Here is an 18552-nt window from a genome sequence, read left to right on the forward strand (position 1 = left end):
TTCCTTAGCCAGTTCCAATGTGTAGCCAAATTTGAGGCTCATTGTTCCATATCACTAAGTGCTCAGCCTAGCTGCCTATTAGAATCACCTGGGAGAATTTTTAAAAAATATTTATCACTGTGTCTCACCCCCAGAGTTTCTAATTTAAGTGGTTTGGGGTGGCACTTGGCATTGGAATTTGTTAAATCTCCCCAGGTAAGGTTAGTGCAGGCTGTGGTTGAGAACCACTCCTTATAGGCTTGCAAAGGTTTCTTTCTAAATATCGCTCTCTCTCTCTCATTTTATATATCTTCAAACATCCAAATTCCTTAGAATAGAACATGCGCTAGATATATTTTATACCATCTACCTATCCACATCTCACTCTTTTGCACTGCATGTCTATGCCTACTTTTGTATCACCCCCTTTTGTGTCACATGTCTATGTCTACTCATCATAGGTGATTGCACTAGGAAGCTGTAATTTCTGTGGCAAGGATTTGAAAGCTAAGCTAAGGTAATCATATTCCTTTTTCAGAATTTAAATTTGGGATATGAAGAGACTGAGGCAATTAGCAAAGAGGTTAGAAACCAAAATGACATATCAGCAAATGCCATGAGACAGGCAGGTGCCTCATGCCTGTAGTTCCAGCTACTTGGGAGACTGAGCAGGCAGGATTGCATGAGTCCAGGAGTTTGAGGCTGTGTGTGCTATGACTGCATCATTGCATTCCAGCTTGTACGACAGAGCGAGACTCTGTCTCTTAAGAGAAAAAAAAATTTTGGCTGGACACAGTGGCTCAAGCCTGTAATCCCAGCGCTTTTTGGGAGGCCAAGGCAGGAGGATAATTTGAGCTCAGGAGTTCAAGGCCAGCCTGGGCAACATGGTGAAACCCGTCTCTCCAAAAAAAACAAAAAATTGAGCCAGGCACGGTGGCTTGTGTCTGTGGTCCCAGCTACTTGGGAGGCTGAGGAAGGAGAATCGTTTGAGCCTGGGAGGTGGAGGTTGGAAGCTGAGATTGCTCCATTGCACTCCAGCCTAGTGACAGGCAGAGGTTGCGGTGAGCTGAGATCACGCCACTGCACTAGAGCCTTGGCGACTGAGAGAGACTCAAACAGAACAAAAGAAAACAAAGACAAACAAAAAACCCCATAATTGCCATGACAGAAACAGCAGAGTGATAGTTTTGATGGGACACTAGCAAGCCTAATGCAAAAATTCTGAATAGGCAAAAGAAAGCAATCCATAAAAAGAAGAAGGCCTAATTCAAATGTCATCTCTGTGTAACTTTCTCTGACTCCCTTCCAGGAAGAAATAATACACCCATGGATGTTCTTTTGTTGTTGTTGTTTTTGAGACAGAGTCTTGCTCCGTCACCCAGGCCAGAGTGCAGTGAAGTGATCTCGGCTCACTGGAATGTCCGCCTCCCGGGTTGAGGCAGTTCTCCTGCCTCAGCCTCCCAGTAGCTGGGGTTACAGGCATGTAATTACAGGCCCACCTAATTTTTGTGTTTTTAGTAGAGATGGGATTTTGCCATGTTGGCCAGGCTGGTCTTGAACTCTTGACTTCAAGTGATCTGCCTGCCTCGGCCTCCCAAAGTGTTGGGATTACAGTTGTAAGCCATTACGCCTGGCCACCATGGATGTTCTAAAGACTTTTTTTTTTTTTACACGGAGTCTTGCTCTGTCACCAGGATGAAGACATTTTTTAGTACTTATCACATTGTGTTTTAGTTTTTTATGTCTCTCTTTTTAGACTGTGAGCTTTCCAAGTTAAGGTCCAAGTCTCGTATACATTTTTTTGTTTTGTTTTTTGAGACAGAATCTCACTCTGTTGCCCGGGCTGGAGTGCACAATCTTTGCTCATTGCAACCTCTGCCTTCCAGGTTCAAATGATTCTTGTGTCTCAGCCTCCTGAGTAGCTGGGACTACAGGCATGCACTAGCATGTCTGGCTAATTTTCGTATTTTCAGTAGAGACGGGATTTTACCATGTTAGTCATATATATTTTTATCCCTAGCACAATAGCTGGTGTATCACAGGTGCTCAGTAAACACAGAATAAAATTAAATTTAATACATTGTGACTTTTGAAAATTAAATAATAGTAATGAAAAGTTTATTTTTTTTCCCTAGGCTTCTGAATTTTAGCATAAACCTTGTCCCCCGTGGTATACGTCATCTAGTCTCTACTGAAATTTTTCCCACTCTATCCAGGAATAAGTATGGAACTGGAGCAGTTAGCATTCAGGCTGGCAGTGCTTTGCTAGCTAAAGGTGGTATCTGCTTTATAGGAGACTTGGCTTCACACAAAAAAGATAAACTTGAACAGCTTCAAACAGGTAAACAATATTTTTTAAATTAATTTTCACCCGTTTAACCTATACTCTCATCCATGTTGAGATACTTAACAGTTAAGATAGTATTGCAGTTGTTTGAGGGTTTAAGAAATTATGTTAGATGGCATTTCTTATTTTGGTTTTATAAGCTAAACAGAAATTTAATGTGCAAATGCCCAGTTTTAGCCTTTGCTCTCAGTGTGCTAACACATGAGCTTGTAATGGTCCAGATTTATTTCCTCTTCTTGTCTAGTGATAGCATTAGCTACCACTTCCAGTATAAAGTTGAAAAGTAGTGTTGAGAGAGGACATCCTCGCCTTGTTCCTGATCTGAGTGGGAAAGCTTCAAGTTTCTCACCATTAAGTATGATGTTAGCTGTACATTTTTTGTAGACATTCTTTATCCGTGGAAGTTCTTCTCTATTCCTAATTTTCCGAGAGGGTTTTTTTTAATCATAAATGGATATTGGATTTTGTCAAATGCTTTGTCTGCCTCTGTTAATATGATCATGTCACAGGATCCTTCGGGTGTTGCTTCTCAAGCCAGAAACCTCTATGTCCAGCAGCACCTCTGCTTGAGTTTCACTCCTGCCTGCTGGGCTTGTTCTGCTCACTCAGCCTGGCAGGCTGCACTTGGCTCACACTACCAGTCCAGATCCCATGCCTGCTGAGGATAAGCCAGGAGCGGAGCAGCGAGGGGTGTGTGAGTGAGTAAGCACAGGGTCTGGCCACTGCACATAGCCAGGCACACCAGCCGCTGTGGCAGGGCAGGCAGCTCCAGGGGCTGGCACAGGTGCTGGCTTCATGCAAGGCTGTAGCTGGAACAGGCATACTGCAAGTGGCTTCTACTGAGGGCCCTGGTGTCTGGATGAGGGGAACAGGATGGCACCTGAAAACTTGGAGATACCAGCAACGGTGGAGCCCCAAGGGGCTGCAGGGAAGCATGCCACAGCTCTCTCGTTCCTGCTGCCCACAGCTCAGCAGATGGTGGGGCACATGTTAACAGCTCTTTCAGTCCACTGCTTCACTCCAGCCTGTGGCTCCTGGGCTGGCCCAGCCCATCGCCACTTTCTGTTGTGGGGCAGCCACCCAAGGCTGGCAGAAGGCAAGAGGATTATAGTGTTACAGCTCTGACTCAGGAAATCCTGAGGTCTGGGCCTCCAGAAGGGTCATTGCTCTTCACTCCTGCAGTCCAGCAAACAAGAGTGTGTCACCACTCACAGCTCAGTGAGCTGGCTAGGAAAGTGTTACAGCCCTTTTTGCTCCCACTTGCAGCTCAGCAAGCCTGCCAGGAGAATGTCATGGCCCTTTTCACACCTGCCATTCAACAGGTCCCAAGTTCTTGTTCCACGTCCAGGAAGAATTAGCTTATGTGGACAACTGGAGGGTGAGCAAGGTGGAGAAGAGTTTTATTGCATGGCAGAACAGCTTTCAGTGGACAGGAGACCTGAAGTGGGTAGCTCGTACCCCCAGGCGGGTAGTCCCAACCTGTGTTTGAGTCTGGCTGAGTCTGGGGTTTTTATGGGCTAAGAATGGAGGAAGTACATGCTGATTGGTCCATGGGTGGGCCCAGAAAAAGCACCATCTGATTGGCTGAAAGGCATCAAGGAAGTTCTCACTCCAGGTGGTGGACTCCACCCAGAACTGGCAGCCTGGTTTTCAGGCTTCAGGCTGTCTCCTGCCTGAAGGTTGGGTTCCACCAGGGACCTGCCCCTATCTGCCCAGGAACCTGTCTGCCTCCTGCCATCATCAGTCATATGATTTTTCTCATTTAGCCTGTTGATATGATGGATTACATTAATTGATTTTTGAATATTGAACCAGCCTTGCATACCTGGGATAAAGCTTACTTGGTCATGGTGTATAATTCTTTTTCTACATTGTTGGATTTGATATGCTATTATTTTTGTTGAGGATTTTTTAAATCTATGTTCATGAGAGATATTGGTCTGTAGGGTTTTTTCCTTATAATGTCGTTGTCTGGTTCTGTATTAGAGTAATACTGGTTGGGCAAGATTTATAACTAGCAAGGATATGGACAGCCATGGACTGGGCAAAGAGTAGTCAGAACCTTGCCTTCTTGGCATACCAGCATGAATGTATAAGTGTGCTCAGGGCACATAGCATATTGCTTCACTTTATAAGAGAATGCAGAAATTAGCTGGGCCCAGTGGCTCACACCTGGAATCCCAGCACTTTGGGAGGCTGAGGCAAGAGGATTGCTGGAGGCCAGGAGTTCTAGACCATCCTGGGCAACACACTGAGACCCCATCTCTACAAAAAAAAGCAATAAAAGCAAAATGAGGGTGTATTAGTCTGTTTTCATGTTGCTGATAAAGACATACCTGAGATTGGACAATTTACAAAAGAAAGAGGTTTATTAGACTTACAGTTCCACATGGCTGAGGAGGCCTTACAATCATGGTAGAGTGTGAAAGGCACATCTCAAGTGGTGGCAGACAAGAGAAGAGGGCTTGTGCAGGGAAACTCCCCGTTTTAAAACTATTAGATCTTGTGAGACTTATTCATTATCATGAGAACAGTGCAGGAAAGACCTGCCCCCATGATTCAGTTACCTCCCACCAGGCCCCTCCCACAACACGTGGGAGTTCACGATGAGATTTGGGTGGGGACAGAGCCAACCCATATCAGAGAGTGTAGAACTAGACCCACATTTTATGGTCAGTTGATTTTTGACTACAGCACCAAAGCTAGTCAGTGGGAAAAGGAGTTTTTTTCATCAAAGGATGGTGGAACATCTGGCTGCTACAGAGGAGGGCCTCGGTACAACTGCACTTGGTTCCACACTCGTGAAGTTGGCCCTGCTAGTATGTCCTCTCCCCACAAGAACTTGGCATTTGGTTTAAAACTCTGCTGTCATCATATTCAATTTTTAATAATTTTATCTTTGTATTGTAAGGAAGTCCAACGAGATAATGGCACTTGACTGTGAGTAGAGGAGACACATGGATGCCTGTTTTTACTGTGCCTTACTGCCCTATTTCATACAGCATTTGTGATCACTATGCAGCATTCATAACACACTTAATTTGTACTTTCTCTGATTGTTGCTGGACTCCCATGTGTCATGGGTGCACTATAAGCCAGTGCTTATATTTCCATATCAACACATTTTCAACTGAGTAAGAGGGAATGCTAATAACCCCAAGTGGCCATGCTTTTCATTTGAACTAGGTGTACTTCTAATACAGAAAGAAGGCAAAGGCCTTTCAAGAAACACAAATGACCAAGTAGCCATATCATACTCTTTCTTACTTGGTTGCTTCCCTGTATTTGCCAACCACTTACACTGAAAATGACACAGGAGGAAAGGGAAAGATAGGGCAAATCCATAGTTCCTTGTCTTTTCAGTCCTTCCTCACTTATCAGTAAGCTGAAGGTAGAGAGTGTTGGTGAAATGTATGCATATCAAGAAGTAAAATAAAAATTGTTTTGTGCAGCATTTCCACTGTCCTGGTAAAAACAAAATACATATGCATATGCAAAATACTATTGGTTCCACTTATGAGGTAAATGCCCATATATTTGCATTATACAATATAAAGATAAAAGTATTGTACAATATAAAGATAAAAGGTAAAATTTATGTCAATATAAAATTTTAATTTTTCTTTATTTAGAATGGCAATACTACTATTACATTTTTTGTAACAGTTTTATTGAGATTTCACACATCATACAATTCCCCACTGAAAGTGTACAGTTAAGTGCTTTTTAGAATATTCACAGAGTTGTGCTACTATTACCACTAACTTCAGAATATTTTCATCACCCCAAAAGGAAGCCCCATACCCATTAGCAGTCAACCCCCAGTCCCTGCCTCCCGTCACCTACTCCCTCACAGTCCCTGGCAAACACTATTTGCTTTCTGTTTCTGTGTATTTGCCTATTCTGAACATTGCATAGGCAGTCTTCCCTCAGTATTCTCCAGGGGTTGGTTCCAGGGCCTCTGCAGATACCAAAATCCACAGATGCTCAAGTCCCTTATATAAAATGGCAGAGTATTTGCATATAATCTATGCACATCCTCCCATATACTTTAAATCATCCTTGGATTACTTATAATAGTCAATACAATGTAAATGCTTTGCAAATTGTTATACTGTGTTGTTTTTTATTGTTGTTATTGTTTTATTTATTTATTGAATATTTTTCATCAGTGGTTGGTTGAATCTACAGATGCAGACAGACCCTTTGGATATAGATGGCTGACTATAAATGGAATCAAATGATATGTGGTCCTCCGCAATGGCCCTGGCCTCTTTCTTCTTCTTCTCCTTCTTCCTTCTTCCTTCTTCTTCTTCTTTCTTTCTTTTTTTTTTTTTTTTGAAACAGGGTCTTACTCTGTTGCCCTGTTGCCCAGGGTGGAGTTCAATGGTGTCATCATACCTCACTGCACCCTCCAACTCCTGGGCTCAAGCAATTCTCTCACCTCAGCCTCCCAAGTAGCTGGGACCACGGTAACATCCCACAATGCTTGGCTAATTTTTTGTAGTAACAGGGTCTTGCCACGTTGCCCAGGCTGGTCTCAAACTCCTGGGCTCAAGCAATCCCCCCGTGTCAGCCTCCCAAAGTGCTCCATATTTTTTGTTTGGGTTTTAAGTGGGAGGTGAGGGGACAATGAATTTGGCTTTGAACATGTTGAATTTGAGATATATTTCCCCCCAGTCATTGTAGTTCATATTATCTCTGTCTTTTCCTCTCTCACTCCCACATGGATGGCCTGCTTTCTATCATTTTCCCCACATAAAAGAACAGGATTTAATTTTAGCCTCTCTTGTAAGTCTGTATTATATGACCAATCTCTTAGCCCCCTGCCTAGTCCACTCAGGTGCCCAGCCACAATTCCAGCTACGTGCTTTGGACTCCTGGTTCTCATCAAGTCATGGGACACATAAGGCTTCAAATACATATTTTTTATGGCAGAACTTAGAGCATTGTCTTGCAAAACAGTCAAATTTACTTTCTTTCACTATCCAAAGTCTACACAGTATAATTATATATAATAATGTGTTAGCAATTTGTAGACATTTAGACCAAAATGAACTTAAATAACAAATGGATAATGTCTTCTGACTTAGTTCTGGAGAGCAGAAGCATCACAGTGTACATCCCAGGAAAGAAGTTTGGGGAGGATATTGATCAACAGATGACTTTTCCAGTTCAGTGCAGTTTTTGGTCTTTTGTTGATGTGGATTCATCTTCAAGGAGAAATGCACAGAAAATCAACACTCTAATTGGTCAGATGGTAAGGTATATGTATATTTTATTGTTAGAATGTTGTTCAAGGAATAAAGTCATAAATTTTAATACATCTTAATATTTTTGTTATTAACCTGTTTCTATACTTTATTGAGTACCAGAACTACATGATGACCCAGTTGTTTAAAAATTGTAATGTTTTTTAACCATGTAGATCAGATATCTGCTCACTGGAAATTACTATTTGAATAGGTAACTAGAGAGTCTTTAATGAATAATGTATAAGAAAATACTCACTAAAGAGGCTTTAAAAAAATCAATCACTAAAAAGTTCCCAGATTATTAAAAAATTACCTTAAATTATAATTAATATGATAAATAATAACTTTAATAATAACAACATATAATAATTACTTTGTAATTAATTATTTCCAAATTGTGAAAATTACAAAGTTTAATGTTTGCCTGTTACCTTTTGGTTTGATGTAGGATTGCAGTTTGATTCCAGCTAACCTTGTGGAGGCATTTGGTTTATTGATTAACTGCAACGAGTCATCTCCCTGCCACCCATTTCTTCCTACTGTGCAACACACTTTGAACAAAGCCATTAATCCTGAAGGGCTGTTTTATGCGGCTTCTAGACAGTTCACAACTGAAGATTTTGAAAAGGTAAAGGTGGATAAAACGGTTACCCAGAATGCCTGTGCTAATGTTTCTCAAATTATATAGAAGTCCTTTTGAGTGCTGGATTTTCTTTATTTAGGATTCTTTTATTCCATCTTGGTTCCAGCTTTTAAACATTTTAAGGACATTGCATAGAAGTTATTTAGGGTTAGGCTGGTGTGGTGGCTCATGCCTATAATCCCAGCACTTTGAGAGGCCCAGGCGGGTGGCTCACTTGAGGCCAGGAGTTCGAGACCAGCCTGGCCAACACAGTGAAACCCCGTCTCTACCAAAAAATACAAAAATTAGCTGGGCGTGGTGGTGGCACCTGTAATCCCAGCTACTCGGGAGGCTGAGGCAGGAGAATCAGTTGAACCCAGGAGTTGGAGGTTGCAGTGAGCCGAGATCGCACCACTGCACTCCTGCCTGGGTGATAGAGTAAGACCCTGTCTCAAAAAAAAAAAAAAGAAAAAAAGAAAAAAGAAAGAAATTATTTAGAATTATTTAGGGCTATAATTAAAGAAACAACTGTGTTAGGTAATGAATATTAAAATTTTCAGTTTTATTTTTGTACCATTGTCCAAATCAGCACAGCTGAAAGAATCTCAACGAAAGAAAACCAACATAGAATTTTTCTATAGAAAATTATAATAGGCTATATACAGTTATCTGCATTTTACTGTCTATTCAAAGGGATTGTCCTTAGATGAATACCTTCGAGTCCTGACTTTAGGGGATATATAGCATGATTCACTAACCCATTTTAATTAATTACCCTGACATTATCAAAACATATGTGACATGTTCAGAGAACCTGAGAGTAAGTGATGTAAATTTAGTAATAATTCTCATAGCTATTAAAGGTACTCACATATTTACAACTGAAACCTTTTTAACTACTCAAAAATCTGTCCAAGTAGAGTTCACCTGTCTGGGTATGATAGATAAAAGGCAGGGAATATCAGAAAGTGGAGGTCTGAGTCATTAAAATTTTTTTTCATATCTATCTTCCTTGTGAGCATACTGCATGAGTAAAAGGTTGAAAGGCGAAATCGTCTTAAAAATGAATTATGAATATTGTTTATTCACATAGATTAGAATAGAAAAAAGAATAATATTTATAATATAATAAGGTTTTGGTTTTGGTTTTATTATATAGGAAAAAAGTAGTCTGTAGGAGTTAGGGTACTAAATATGGACAGGCTAATGGCCCTGACAAATGTTGCCCATTTTTTTACCTGAGAAGCCAAAACAATCTAGATTTATTAATTATTCAGGTATTTACTGAATACTTCACAAATATGAGCCTATTTCCATTCTTTTATATTCTCATAGATATATAAACTTTCTCTTTAGTTTATCATTTAATTGAGATTAAAAACAAGATATAGGCCAGGCAAGGTGGCTCACGCCTGTAATCCCAGCACTTTGGGAGGCCGAGGAGGGCAGAAACCTGAGGTAGGGAGTTGGAGACCAGCCTGACCAACATGGAGTAACCCCGTCTCTACTAAAAATACAAAATGAGCCAGGCATGGTGGCGCATGCCTGTAATCCCAGCTACTCGGGAGGATGAGGCAGGAGAATCGCTTGAACCCGGAAGGCGGAGGTTGAGGTGAGCCGAGATTGCGCCACTGCACTCCAGCCTGGGCGACAAGAGCAAAACTCCGTCTCAAAAAAAAAAAAAAAAAAAGATACATAAAATAGTTAAGGAACAATTTAAGTGCTAAGCTAAGTGGTGCTGACTCAGGTATTTTAGGAATTCAGAAAGGAAGATACCCATGTAGAATGCAGAAGCTGGGAAAACTTCATGGAGGAGGCTGGACATTAGTTGGGCTGTAAGAAAGGGTAAAATTTAGATGCACAAAGGATGGGTGTTCCAAGTAGAATTAACAGTAGGAGTAAAGACTTAAAAGTAGAAATTAGTGTACATGGAAAACGATAAGACCAGCTTGACTGGAGCAAAAATTGTATTTTGGAGTCATAGGATTTTGGCATATTTACAATAAGTCTTGCACAGGCAAAAGATTTTATAGTTGGTTTGTCAGACTATAGAGAACAGTTGTAGAGTGAACTGTAAAATAGTAAAAAGTGAAATAGTAAAAATGGTTTCTCTGGAAGATAAATCTGTCTATTACACAAATCAAAGTGGATGGAATTTGTTGCAGCCTGAGCTCTCCAGAACACAGACTGAGATGGAGTTTAGTGTGCCAATGTGTATTTGAGAGGGCTTTTCTGTCAATACCTACGGACTTTATAATGTCCTCCCCGACTTCTGCCTCAATTACTCATGTGATGTGGACTGTCCTGAGGCAATCCCTGAAGGGGCTGACAGCACTCTCAGTAGCTGGGGCAACAAGTCCTTTCCTGAAGGAGGATATTGGTGGCTCATCATCATGCCATCTTAGAGAGAACTTAGAGAGGGTTATTGATGCTATTAATAGTATATCCAGTTCTGAAAGCCTGGAGAGAGTTGTGGAGAATAAAGAAAACAAAGAAGCCAGGATATACATCCAATCCAGGACATGTCCAATCTAGGACATGTCTCTATGCTTTTCTTTTCTTTTTTCTTCTCTCGCTCTGTTACCAGGTTGGAGTGCAGAGGCGCCATCTTGGCTCATTGCAACCTCCGCCTGCTGGGTTCAAGTGATTCTCCTGCCTCAGCCTCCCGAGCAGCTGGGACTACAGGTGCCCGCCACCACACCCGGCTAATTTTTTTGTATTTTTAGTAGAGACAGGGTTTCACCATGTTGGCCAGGATGGTCTCAATCTCTTGACCTCGTGATCTACCCACCTCGGCCTCCCAAAGTGCTGGGATTACAGGTGTGAGCCACCGTGCCCAGCTGTCTCTATGCTTTTTTAAAAGTTAAATTTAAAATATAAATTTTAGGCCGGGCCTAGTGGCTCACGCCTGTAATCCCAGCACTCTGGGAGGCTGAGGCGGGCAGATCACCTGAGGTCAAGAGTTCGAGACCAGCCTGGCCAATATGGTGAAACTGTCTCTACTAAAAATACAAAAAAAAACAAAAGAAAAAATTAGCTGGGCATGGTGGCACACACCTGTAGTCCCAGCTACTCAGGAGGCTGAGGCAGGAGAATCACTTGAACCAGGAGGCAGAGTTTGCAGTGAGCTGAGATCGTGCCACGGCACTCCAGCCTGGGCGATAGAGCAAGCCTCCATCTCAAAAATAAATAAATAAAATAGGCTAGGCGCGGTGGCTCATGCCTGTAATCCCAGCACTTTGGGAGGCCGAGGTGGGCGGATCACCTGAGGTCAGGAGTTTGAGACCAGCCTGGCCAACATAGTGAAACCCCATCTCTACCAAAAATACAAAAAATTAGCTAGGCGTGGTGGTACGCGCCTATAATCCCAGCTACTCGGGAGGCTGAGACAGGAGAATCGCTTGAACCCCAGAGGCTGAGGTTGCAGTGAGCCGAGTTTGCGCTATTGCACTCCAGTTTGGGCAACAAGAGCGAAACTCCTTCTCAAAATAAATAAAAAAAAAACATATAAATTTTATAGTTAATAGCAACCTTTCTCCAGGTGTAGGTAGTGTCAGAAAAAAAACAGTAACCTTATTATAGTTAATTTTTCCTGCAGTTATCTGAATTGAAAAAACTAGAAAATAACTAGGATAGTAAAAAATTTGGAAATTACGTCACAGAGAAGAACTTTGGGAACTAGGAATCACTGACTGTGAAAGAAAAGAAAAGCACAAAACTCAAAAAAAACAGTGATAATCATGTGTTGCAGAATTATTCTCTACCCAAATCTTACTAAATCACCAAAGCCCACCTTCAAAGCAGTTAACACAATGTTTCCCCTCATACCAAACGTTGTGTTCTTTAAAAGGAAGGAAGGGAAGTAAGGAGGGCAAGTAGCTCTAGGCCAATGAGAGAAACTTACGAGGAAAAAACTGTCAGAGAATTAAAGCTATTCAAAGGAAAGTTAGCTTCTGAGGGAGGTGAGCCTTTAACTGGGAGCAAAGACGTTGTAAAGTCATTCAAATATATTGCACAGAACATTTCTGCACTGAGAGGGAGGAGATTATTCTGGGTAAACTTTAATATCGTTTACAAGTATAACACTGTGATTTAAAGTGTTCAGTGACTTCAAGATGGCCCCAGACATTTACTCTTTTTTATGTAATAAAATATGCAAACTTGTAAAAATAAAGTGCCAGTATACTTTTGATTTCTGTTATATTGATTCCATAATAAAGCTTGATTATCTTGGATTTTTCACACTTTTTAGCTATTGGCTTTTGCAAAGAATTTGAATGTAGAATTCAGCTTGGAAGCAGAAAGAATGACCCATGGCTATTATCTAGCAAGTCGCAGAATCAGAACAGGCTCTGTATGTGGATCAAAGCTGTCAGCATCTGCATTAAAATATCTGTAGGTATTCAATTCAAGATTTTAAAATCAGCATTGAGTTTCAAATGATATGTTTAATTAAATTGCTAATTTACCTATTTCACTTGTTTCTCTGCTTGATTGCTAGTTGGTTGGTTTGTAAATGGCCTTGTTCCAAAAGGACTAAAGGCTTCACAATTCCTTTTGTTATATCATGTTACATCATTTTAATCTCTAATAATTTTTTTACTAAACTGATTTTTATTGGATGCCATATGAGATATGTCTGGGAAAAGTGCACTGATTTCAAATGCAAATCCTTGTTTTTAAAAATGTGGCTGTTGGGCGGGCACGGTGGCTCACACCTGTAATCCCAGCACTTTGGGAGTCCGAGAGGGCAGATTGCCTGAGGTCAGGAGTTCAAGACCAGCCTGGGCAACACAGTAAAACCCTGTCTCTAATAAAATACAGAAAATTAGCTAGGCGTGGTGGTGCGTTCATGTAGTCCCAGCTACTTGGGAGGCTGAGGCAGGAGAATTGCTTGAACCCGGGAGGCAGAGGTTGCAGTGAGCTGAGATCATGCCACTGCACTCCAGCCTGGGCGACACAGTGAGACTCCGTCTCAAAAAAGAAAAAAAATATGGGTGTTGGTCAGGCGCGGTGGCTCATGCCTGTAATCCCAGCACTTTAGGAGGCTGAGGCAGGTGGGTGGCTTGAGCTCAGTTCAAGACCAGCCTCAGGGCTGGGTGCAGTGGGTCACACCTGTAATCCTAGCACTTTGGGAGGCTGAGGTGGGAGGATCACTTGAGCTCAAGAATTCAAGAACAGCCTGGGCAACATAGTGAGACCTCATCTGTATTTAAAACAAACAAACAAACAAACAGAGCAGCCTGGGCAACATGGTGAAATCCTGTCTCTACCAAAAATACAAAAAACTAGCTGGGCCTGGTGGCAGGTGCCTGTAGTCCCAGCTACTCAGGAAGCTGAGGTGGGAGGATTGCTTGAGCCCATCAAGCGGAAGTTGCAGAGCACCTAGATATGCCACTTTACTCCAGCCTGCGTGACAGAGTGAAACCCCCTTCTCAATTTAAAAAAAAAAAAGCCTGGCCTAGTGGCTCATGCCTATAATCCCAGCACTTTGGGAGGCCAAGGTGGGGCGATCACCTGAGGTCAGGAGTTTGAGCCCAGCCTGGCCAACATGGTGAAACCCTGTCTTTACCAAAAAAATACAAAAAAAATTAGCTTGGCGTTGTGGCACATGCCTGTAGTCCCAGCTACTCATGAGGCTGAGGCAGGAGAATCACTTGAACCCCAGAGGCGGAGGTTGCAGTGGGCCGAGATTGTGCCACTGCACTCCAGCCTGGCGACAGAGCAAGATTCTGTCTCAAAAAAAAAAAAAAAAAAAATATATATATATATATATATATATATATATACATATATCTTTTCATATGTAAACTGAGACTATGTGAGTTCAAATACAAAACATATTTTTACTATAGAGAAAAGAACATTATGAGAAAATAGAACTCTTAAAGCACGGTAGTGCACACCTGTAATCCCAGTACTTTGGGAGGCCAAGTTGGGTGGATCACCAGAGGTCAGGAGTTCACAACCAGCCTGACTAACGTGATGAAACCCTGTCTCTACTAAATACAAAATAATGAGCCAGGCATGGTGGCACATGCCTGTAATCTGAGCTACTTGGGAGGCTGTGACACAGGAGAATCACTTGTACCTGGGAGGCGGAGGTTGCAGTGAGCTGCAATTGGGCCATTGCACTCCAACCTGGGCAACAAGAGTGAAACTGTCTCAAAAAAAAAAAAAAGCAAACAGTGTAATTTGATCTGAGTATTTTAAATGTTACTTCAGGAAACAGAAAGCATTATGTAATTCTGTTTTCCATTTTGAAACATTTATCAAAGAGTTGACTTCTACTTGGCTTATCTTTAGCATTTTTTCAGCTCTATGAAGATAAATATACAGTTGGGGAAATTAACTAAACATGTCTAAATCTTACAGATTTATACTTGACATTTTCTGCCAGTTCTTCATCTGTCTTATTTTATATTGCAGTTGTAACAATATATTTATTTATTTATTTAATGAATTATTTTACTCCTGGTTCTACTTAACAATTATTTTGAGATTACACTTTAATACTATATCAAATAAAGAAATGGTCTATCAGTAGGGGACTGTTTAAACTATGGTACTGCTACATCACAACACAGTGAAGCTGTGATGCAGCTATTATTTCAAAAATAAAGTAGTTAATTTTAATATGATAACTCTACTTTTTCGCATTGTAGAAATAAATACTAAGGGTGGTTTGTGAAACAGCAGAGTAAATAAACCCCTAGCTAGAAGAGTCATAAACCTTGAATTTTTTTGCCATTTCTACAGACAGGTACCTAATCACAAGCATCTTTGCTTTTCTAGAGAAGTGGAGCTGAACAATACTTTCTAAAGGCTCTATACATATTCTGTCCCGGTCAACATTTTTAGAAGGATCTTGGATGAGGATATCAGAGACATGATAATTACATTTATAAATGAGCAATATTGGAGAGAACTTCACAAGCTTGAACTGTGATCTTAATCTAAAAGAAGAAAGTTAATAGGATAAATGTAAAGCCCTCTGTTAGATGCCCAGACTCCCTAGTATAAGTGTGAATTGATGAGAAAATGGTAATGTGGCTTAATATGAAAAGATATGAAAAGGATTTGATATTTCATTCTTTTTATGTTTAATAAGAGTAAATAATGTAATATGGCTATTAATAATACTGAGAGTTGGGGTCATATTAATAGAATATATATCAAGAGCAACAAAATGCTAGTTATGCCTTATCTCTAATGTGATGGTCAAAACTGCTGTCGTACTGCACTGAAAAGGAGTATTAACCAAATTAGGTCATGAGGAGAGTAGCCATCATGGTAAGGAGCTGAAAATTATGTCTCATAGCATAGTAAAGGAACTAGAAATATTTAACTTGGAGGAGAGAAAACACGGAGCAATCAAAAAGTTATCTTTGCATATCTGAAGAGCATCATATTAAGAGGTCTCAGAAGACAGAACAAGAGACCTGTGGGTAGAAATTGCAGTGAAACTAATTTTAGCTTAGATTGATAGAATCTTGGTTATAGTTAGTTATGGTTATAGTTAGTTGCAAAACTTTCAAATGCCTTTACTTATCTGCCTTTTACAGCTGAGTTTCAAAAAATCTCATACATTAAATGATTTATACAAAGTAATACAGCTAGTAAATTCTAGAGACTCAGCCTAGGTTTTCTGATTCCCAAGTTCAGCAGTCATTCAGATACATCACTTTTGCTTGAAGGAGATCTTTCAAGTAATGGAAGCTGGTTAAAAAATTAAAAATAAAGGAACGGATTGCCTCATGAAGCCATGAATGCTAGGAGAGGTCCAAAAGAGACTGGAAAATGAATAGCCCAGGATGTTGTAGAGGAAATTTAGTTTTCTGATGAAAGTTTGAACTTTGAATTCCAAGATCTCTTCCAATGCTGAAATTGCAAACAAAAATCTTGCAAATCTATGAGGATTTTAGATAAATGAAGGACTAAAAGAAAAAGTCAAGGATTTGTCTGTAAAAGATATTTAGTTAGATTAATTTTCCCAACTGTGTATTTATCTGAACAAAACTTCGGGAGGGGAGTGTGGAATGATAAATAAAAGCCAGGATGGAAACCAAAAGGATACTGGCTTGTTCTGGAACAGTCTATTTAAGTCGGTGGGGAAAAAAAATCCTTTGAAAAGAAACTAAAAATTTTTTTAAAGTAAGAATATGCTTTAGGTGTGGCTAAGGTTCATATATATCTCGATTTGTTCCTGCCAAAATATATATTATTTTTATAATATCAACATATTTTCTTTGGCAACTATTTTCTTTTTTAGCGTTTTCCTATCTGAAGCCCATGCACGACTGAACTTAAGGAACAAAGTGCTTAAAGAAGATGTGCTGATTGCAGCCTTACTATTTGAAACATCCCTCACATTGAAATATGGTAATGAATTAAATTATTAATGATCACTACAAATAACTTTTATTTAACCTTAAATATTCTTAGTTGGTTAAATTAAAATGTTACATATATTTTTAAAATATTATTTTAAAGAATAACAAATCTCTACCAGGTAAGGCCTGTTTTAATTTGGGCATTTATTAACTGTTTCTGGGTAGTATCATCATCTGATATTAAATTCCTTATTATGCATGATTGTTTTCATATTTGAACATTTGCATTGCTTAAAGAATTCTGGGGGAAAAAGTACTTACTACAACACATAAAATGATTTTAATTTATCTTCCTTTTAAAATAACTTGCAACATTTAGGTATCAAACAATCCCCCACAGTGGAGTTAGGCAACATAGCAAAAGAAAATCTGATCATCAGCTGGGTGTGGTGGCTCACACCTGTAATCCCAGCACCTTGGGAGGCCGAGACAGATGGATCACAAGGTCAGGAGATCAAGACCAGCCTGCCTAATATGGTGAAAACCCGTCTCTACTAAAAGTACAAAAATTAGCTAGGTGTGGTGGCAGGTGCCTGTAGTCCCAGCTACTCAGGAGGCTGAGGCAAGAGAATCGTTTGAAACTGGGAGGTGGAGGTTGCAGTGAGCTGAGATTGCACCACTGCACTCCAGTCTGGGTGACAGAGTGAGACTCCATCTCAAAAAAAAAAAAAAAGAAAGAAAGAAAAGAAAATCTGATTATCTTGTATCACCACCTTTGCTGAATTACTAGTTTTAATACTATGTCTATAGCATTTAATTTTTTGAAATGAATGGCACTTATTATGCTTTTGCTAATAAACACGCAAAAGAGGTTTTTAAGGTAAGGGTAAAGGAGAGTTATTCTCCCAAAGTTCTTGGTTGAATTAGATGAGACATTAATTTTGATTAGCGATACCATTCTTCAAACCAAACCTTGGTTCCAGCCCTGGGACTTAAAGAATGTATTAACACTAGCTTTCCTGTGTGTATGTGCTGGTGATTACATTTGCTTTAAATTACATTTATATTGTAATACCTGTTTGCAGAGATCCATTCGAATATTAGAACTTTGTTCTATTATTGTCTAAAGTTCTATAAATTGTTCTATAATTGTCTTTGTTCTATAAATGTCAAGCATTCTTAATCTAGGATCCATAGATGCTTGGTATAGGGGCTTGCAAATCCCTAAATAATATACAAATGTACACATGTGTGTGCCTTATACATTTTTTTCCGAGGAACATAGAGCATTAATTTTTATGAAATAGAGATTTATGGCCCCTAAAAGAGGTTAAATATCATCCTGAATTAGTTTTATTTACCAAAAGAGAATAACGCTGGTTCCCAACCAATACTAAATAATAGTTAGGGAGGATATATATATGTTTTTCATTTCAATTTGCTTTATCTTTTTTTAATTAGCATTTCTTTTTTAAATTATTATTTATTATTATTATTATTTTTTTTTGAGATGGAGTTTCACTCTTGTTGCCCAGGCTGGAGTGCAATGGCATGATCTCGGCTCACTGCAACCTCTGCCTCCCAGGTTCAAGCAACCTCAGCCTCTTGAGTAGCTAGGATTACAGGCATGCGCCACCACGCCCAGCTAATTTTGTATTTTTAATAGAGATGGGGTTTCTCCATGTTGGTCAGGCTGGTCTGGAATTCCCGACCTCAGGTGATCTGCCTGACTTGGCCTCCCAAAGTGCTGAGATTACAGGCGTGAGCCACCGTGTCCCACCTATTTTTTTTTTCTCTTTAAGTTCTGGGTTAAGTGTGCAGAACATGCAGGTTTGTTACATAAGTATACATGTGCCATGGCGGTTTGCTGCACCTATCAACCTGTCATCTAGGTTTTAAGCCCCGCATGGTATTTGTCCTAATGCTCTCCTTCCCCTTGCCCCCGCCAACCCCCAACAGGCCTCAGTGTGTGATGTTCCCCTCCCTGTGTCCGTGTGTTCTAATTGTTCAGCTCCC

The 18552-nt window shown here is 40.2% G+C and overlaps 1 protein-coding gene across 9 annotated transcripts in view; it reads left to right on the top strand.

Annotated features, from left to right (window-relative positions):
- The window catches only part of MCMDC2 (minichromosome maintenance domain containing 2), a 55612-nt gene that overhangs the window by 17980 nt on the left and 19080 nt on the right, over positions 1 to 18552 (top strand). For 6 of the 9 annotated variants that reach the window (XM_011517469.3, XM_006716427.4, XM_005251174.3 and 3 more), the window contains 5 exons: positions 2115 to 2320; positions 7420 to 7586; positions 8030 to 8209; positions 12456 to 12598; positions 16476 to 16585. In XM_011517469.3, coding sequence (XP_011515771.1) covers positions 2115 to 2320; positions 7420 to 7586; positions 8030 to 8209; positions 12456 to 12598; positions 16476 to 16585 — 806 coding nt within the window. Of the gene's footprint in view, positions 1 to 2114; positions 2321 to 7419; positions 7587 to 8029; positions 8210 to 12455; positions 13032 to 16475; positions 16619 to 18552 lie in introns of those variants that run through there. The other 3 variants (XM_006716429.3, NM_001136160.2, NM_001136161.2) reach the window with 3 other exon arrangements.

This window comes from Homo sapiens, chromosome 8 (genome assembly GCF_000001405.40).
Source record: "Homo sapiens chromosome 8, GRCh38.p14 Primary Assembly".
Taxonomy (NCBI): Eukaryota; Metazoa; Chordata; class Mammalia; order Primates; family Hominidae; genus Homo; species Homo sapiens.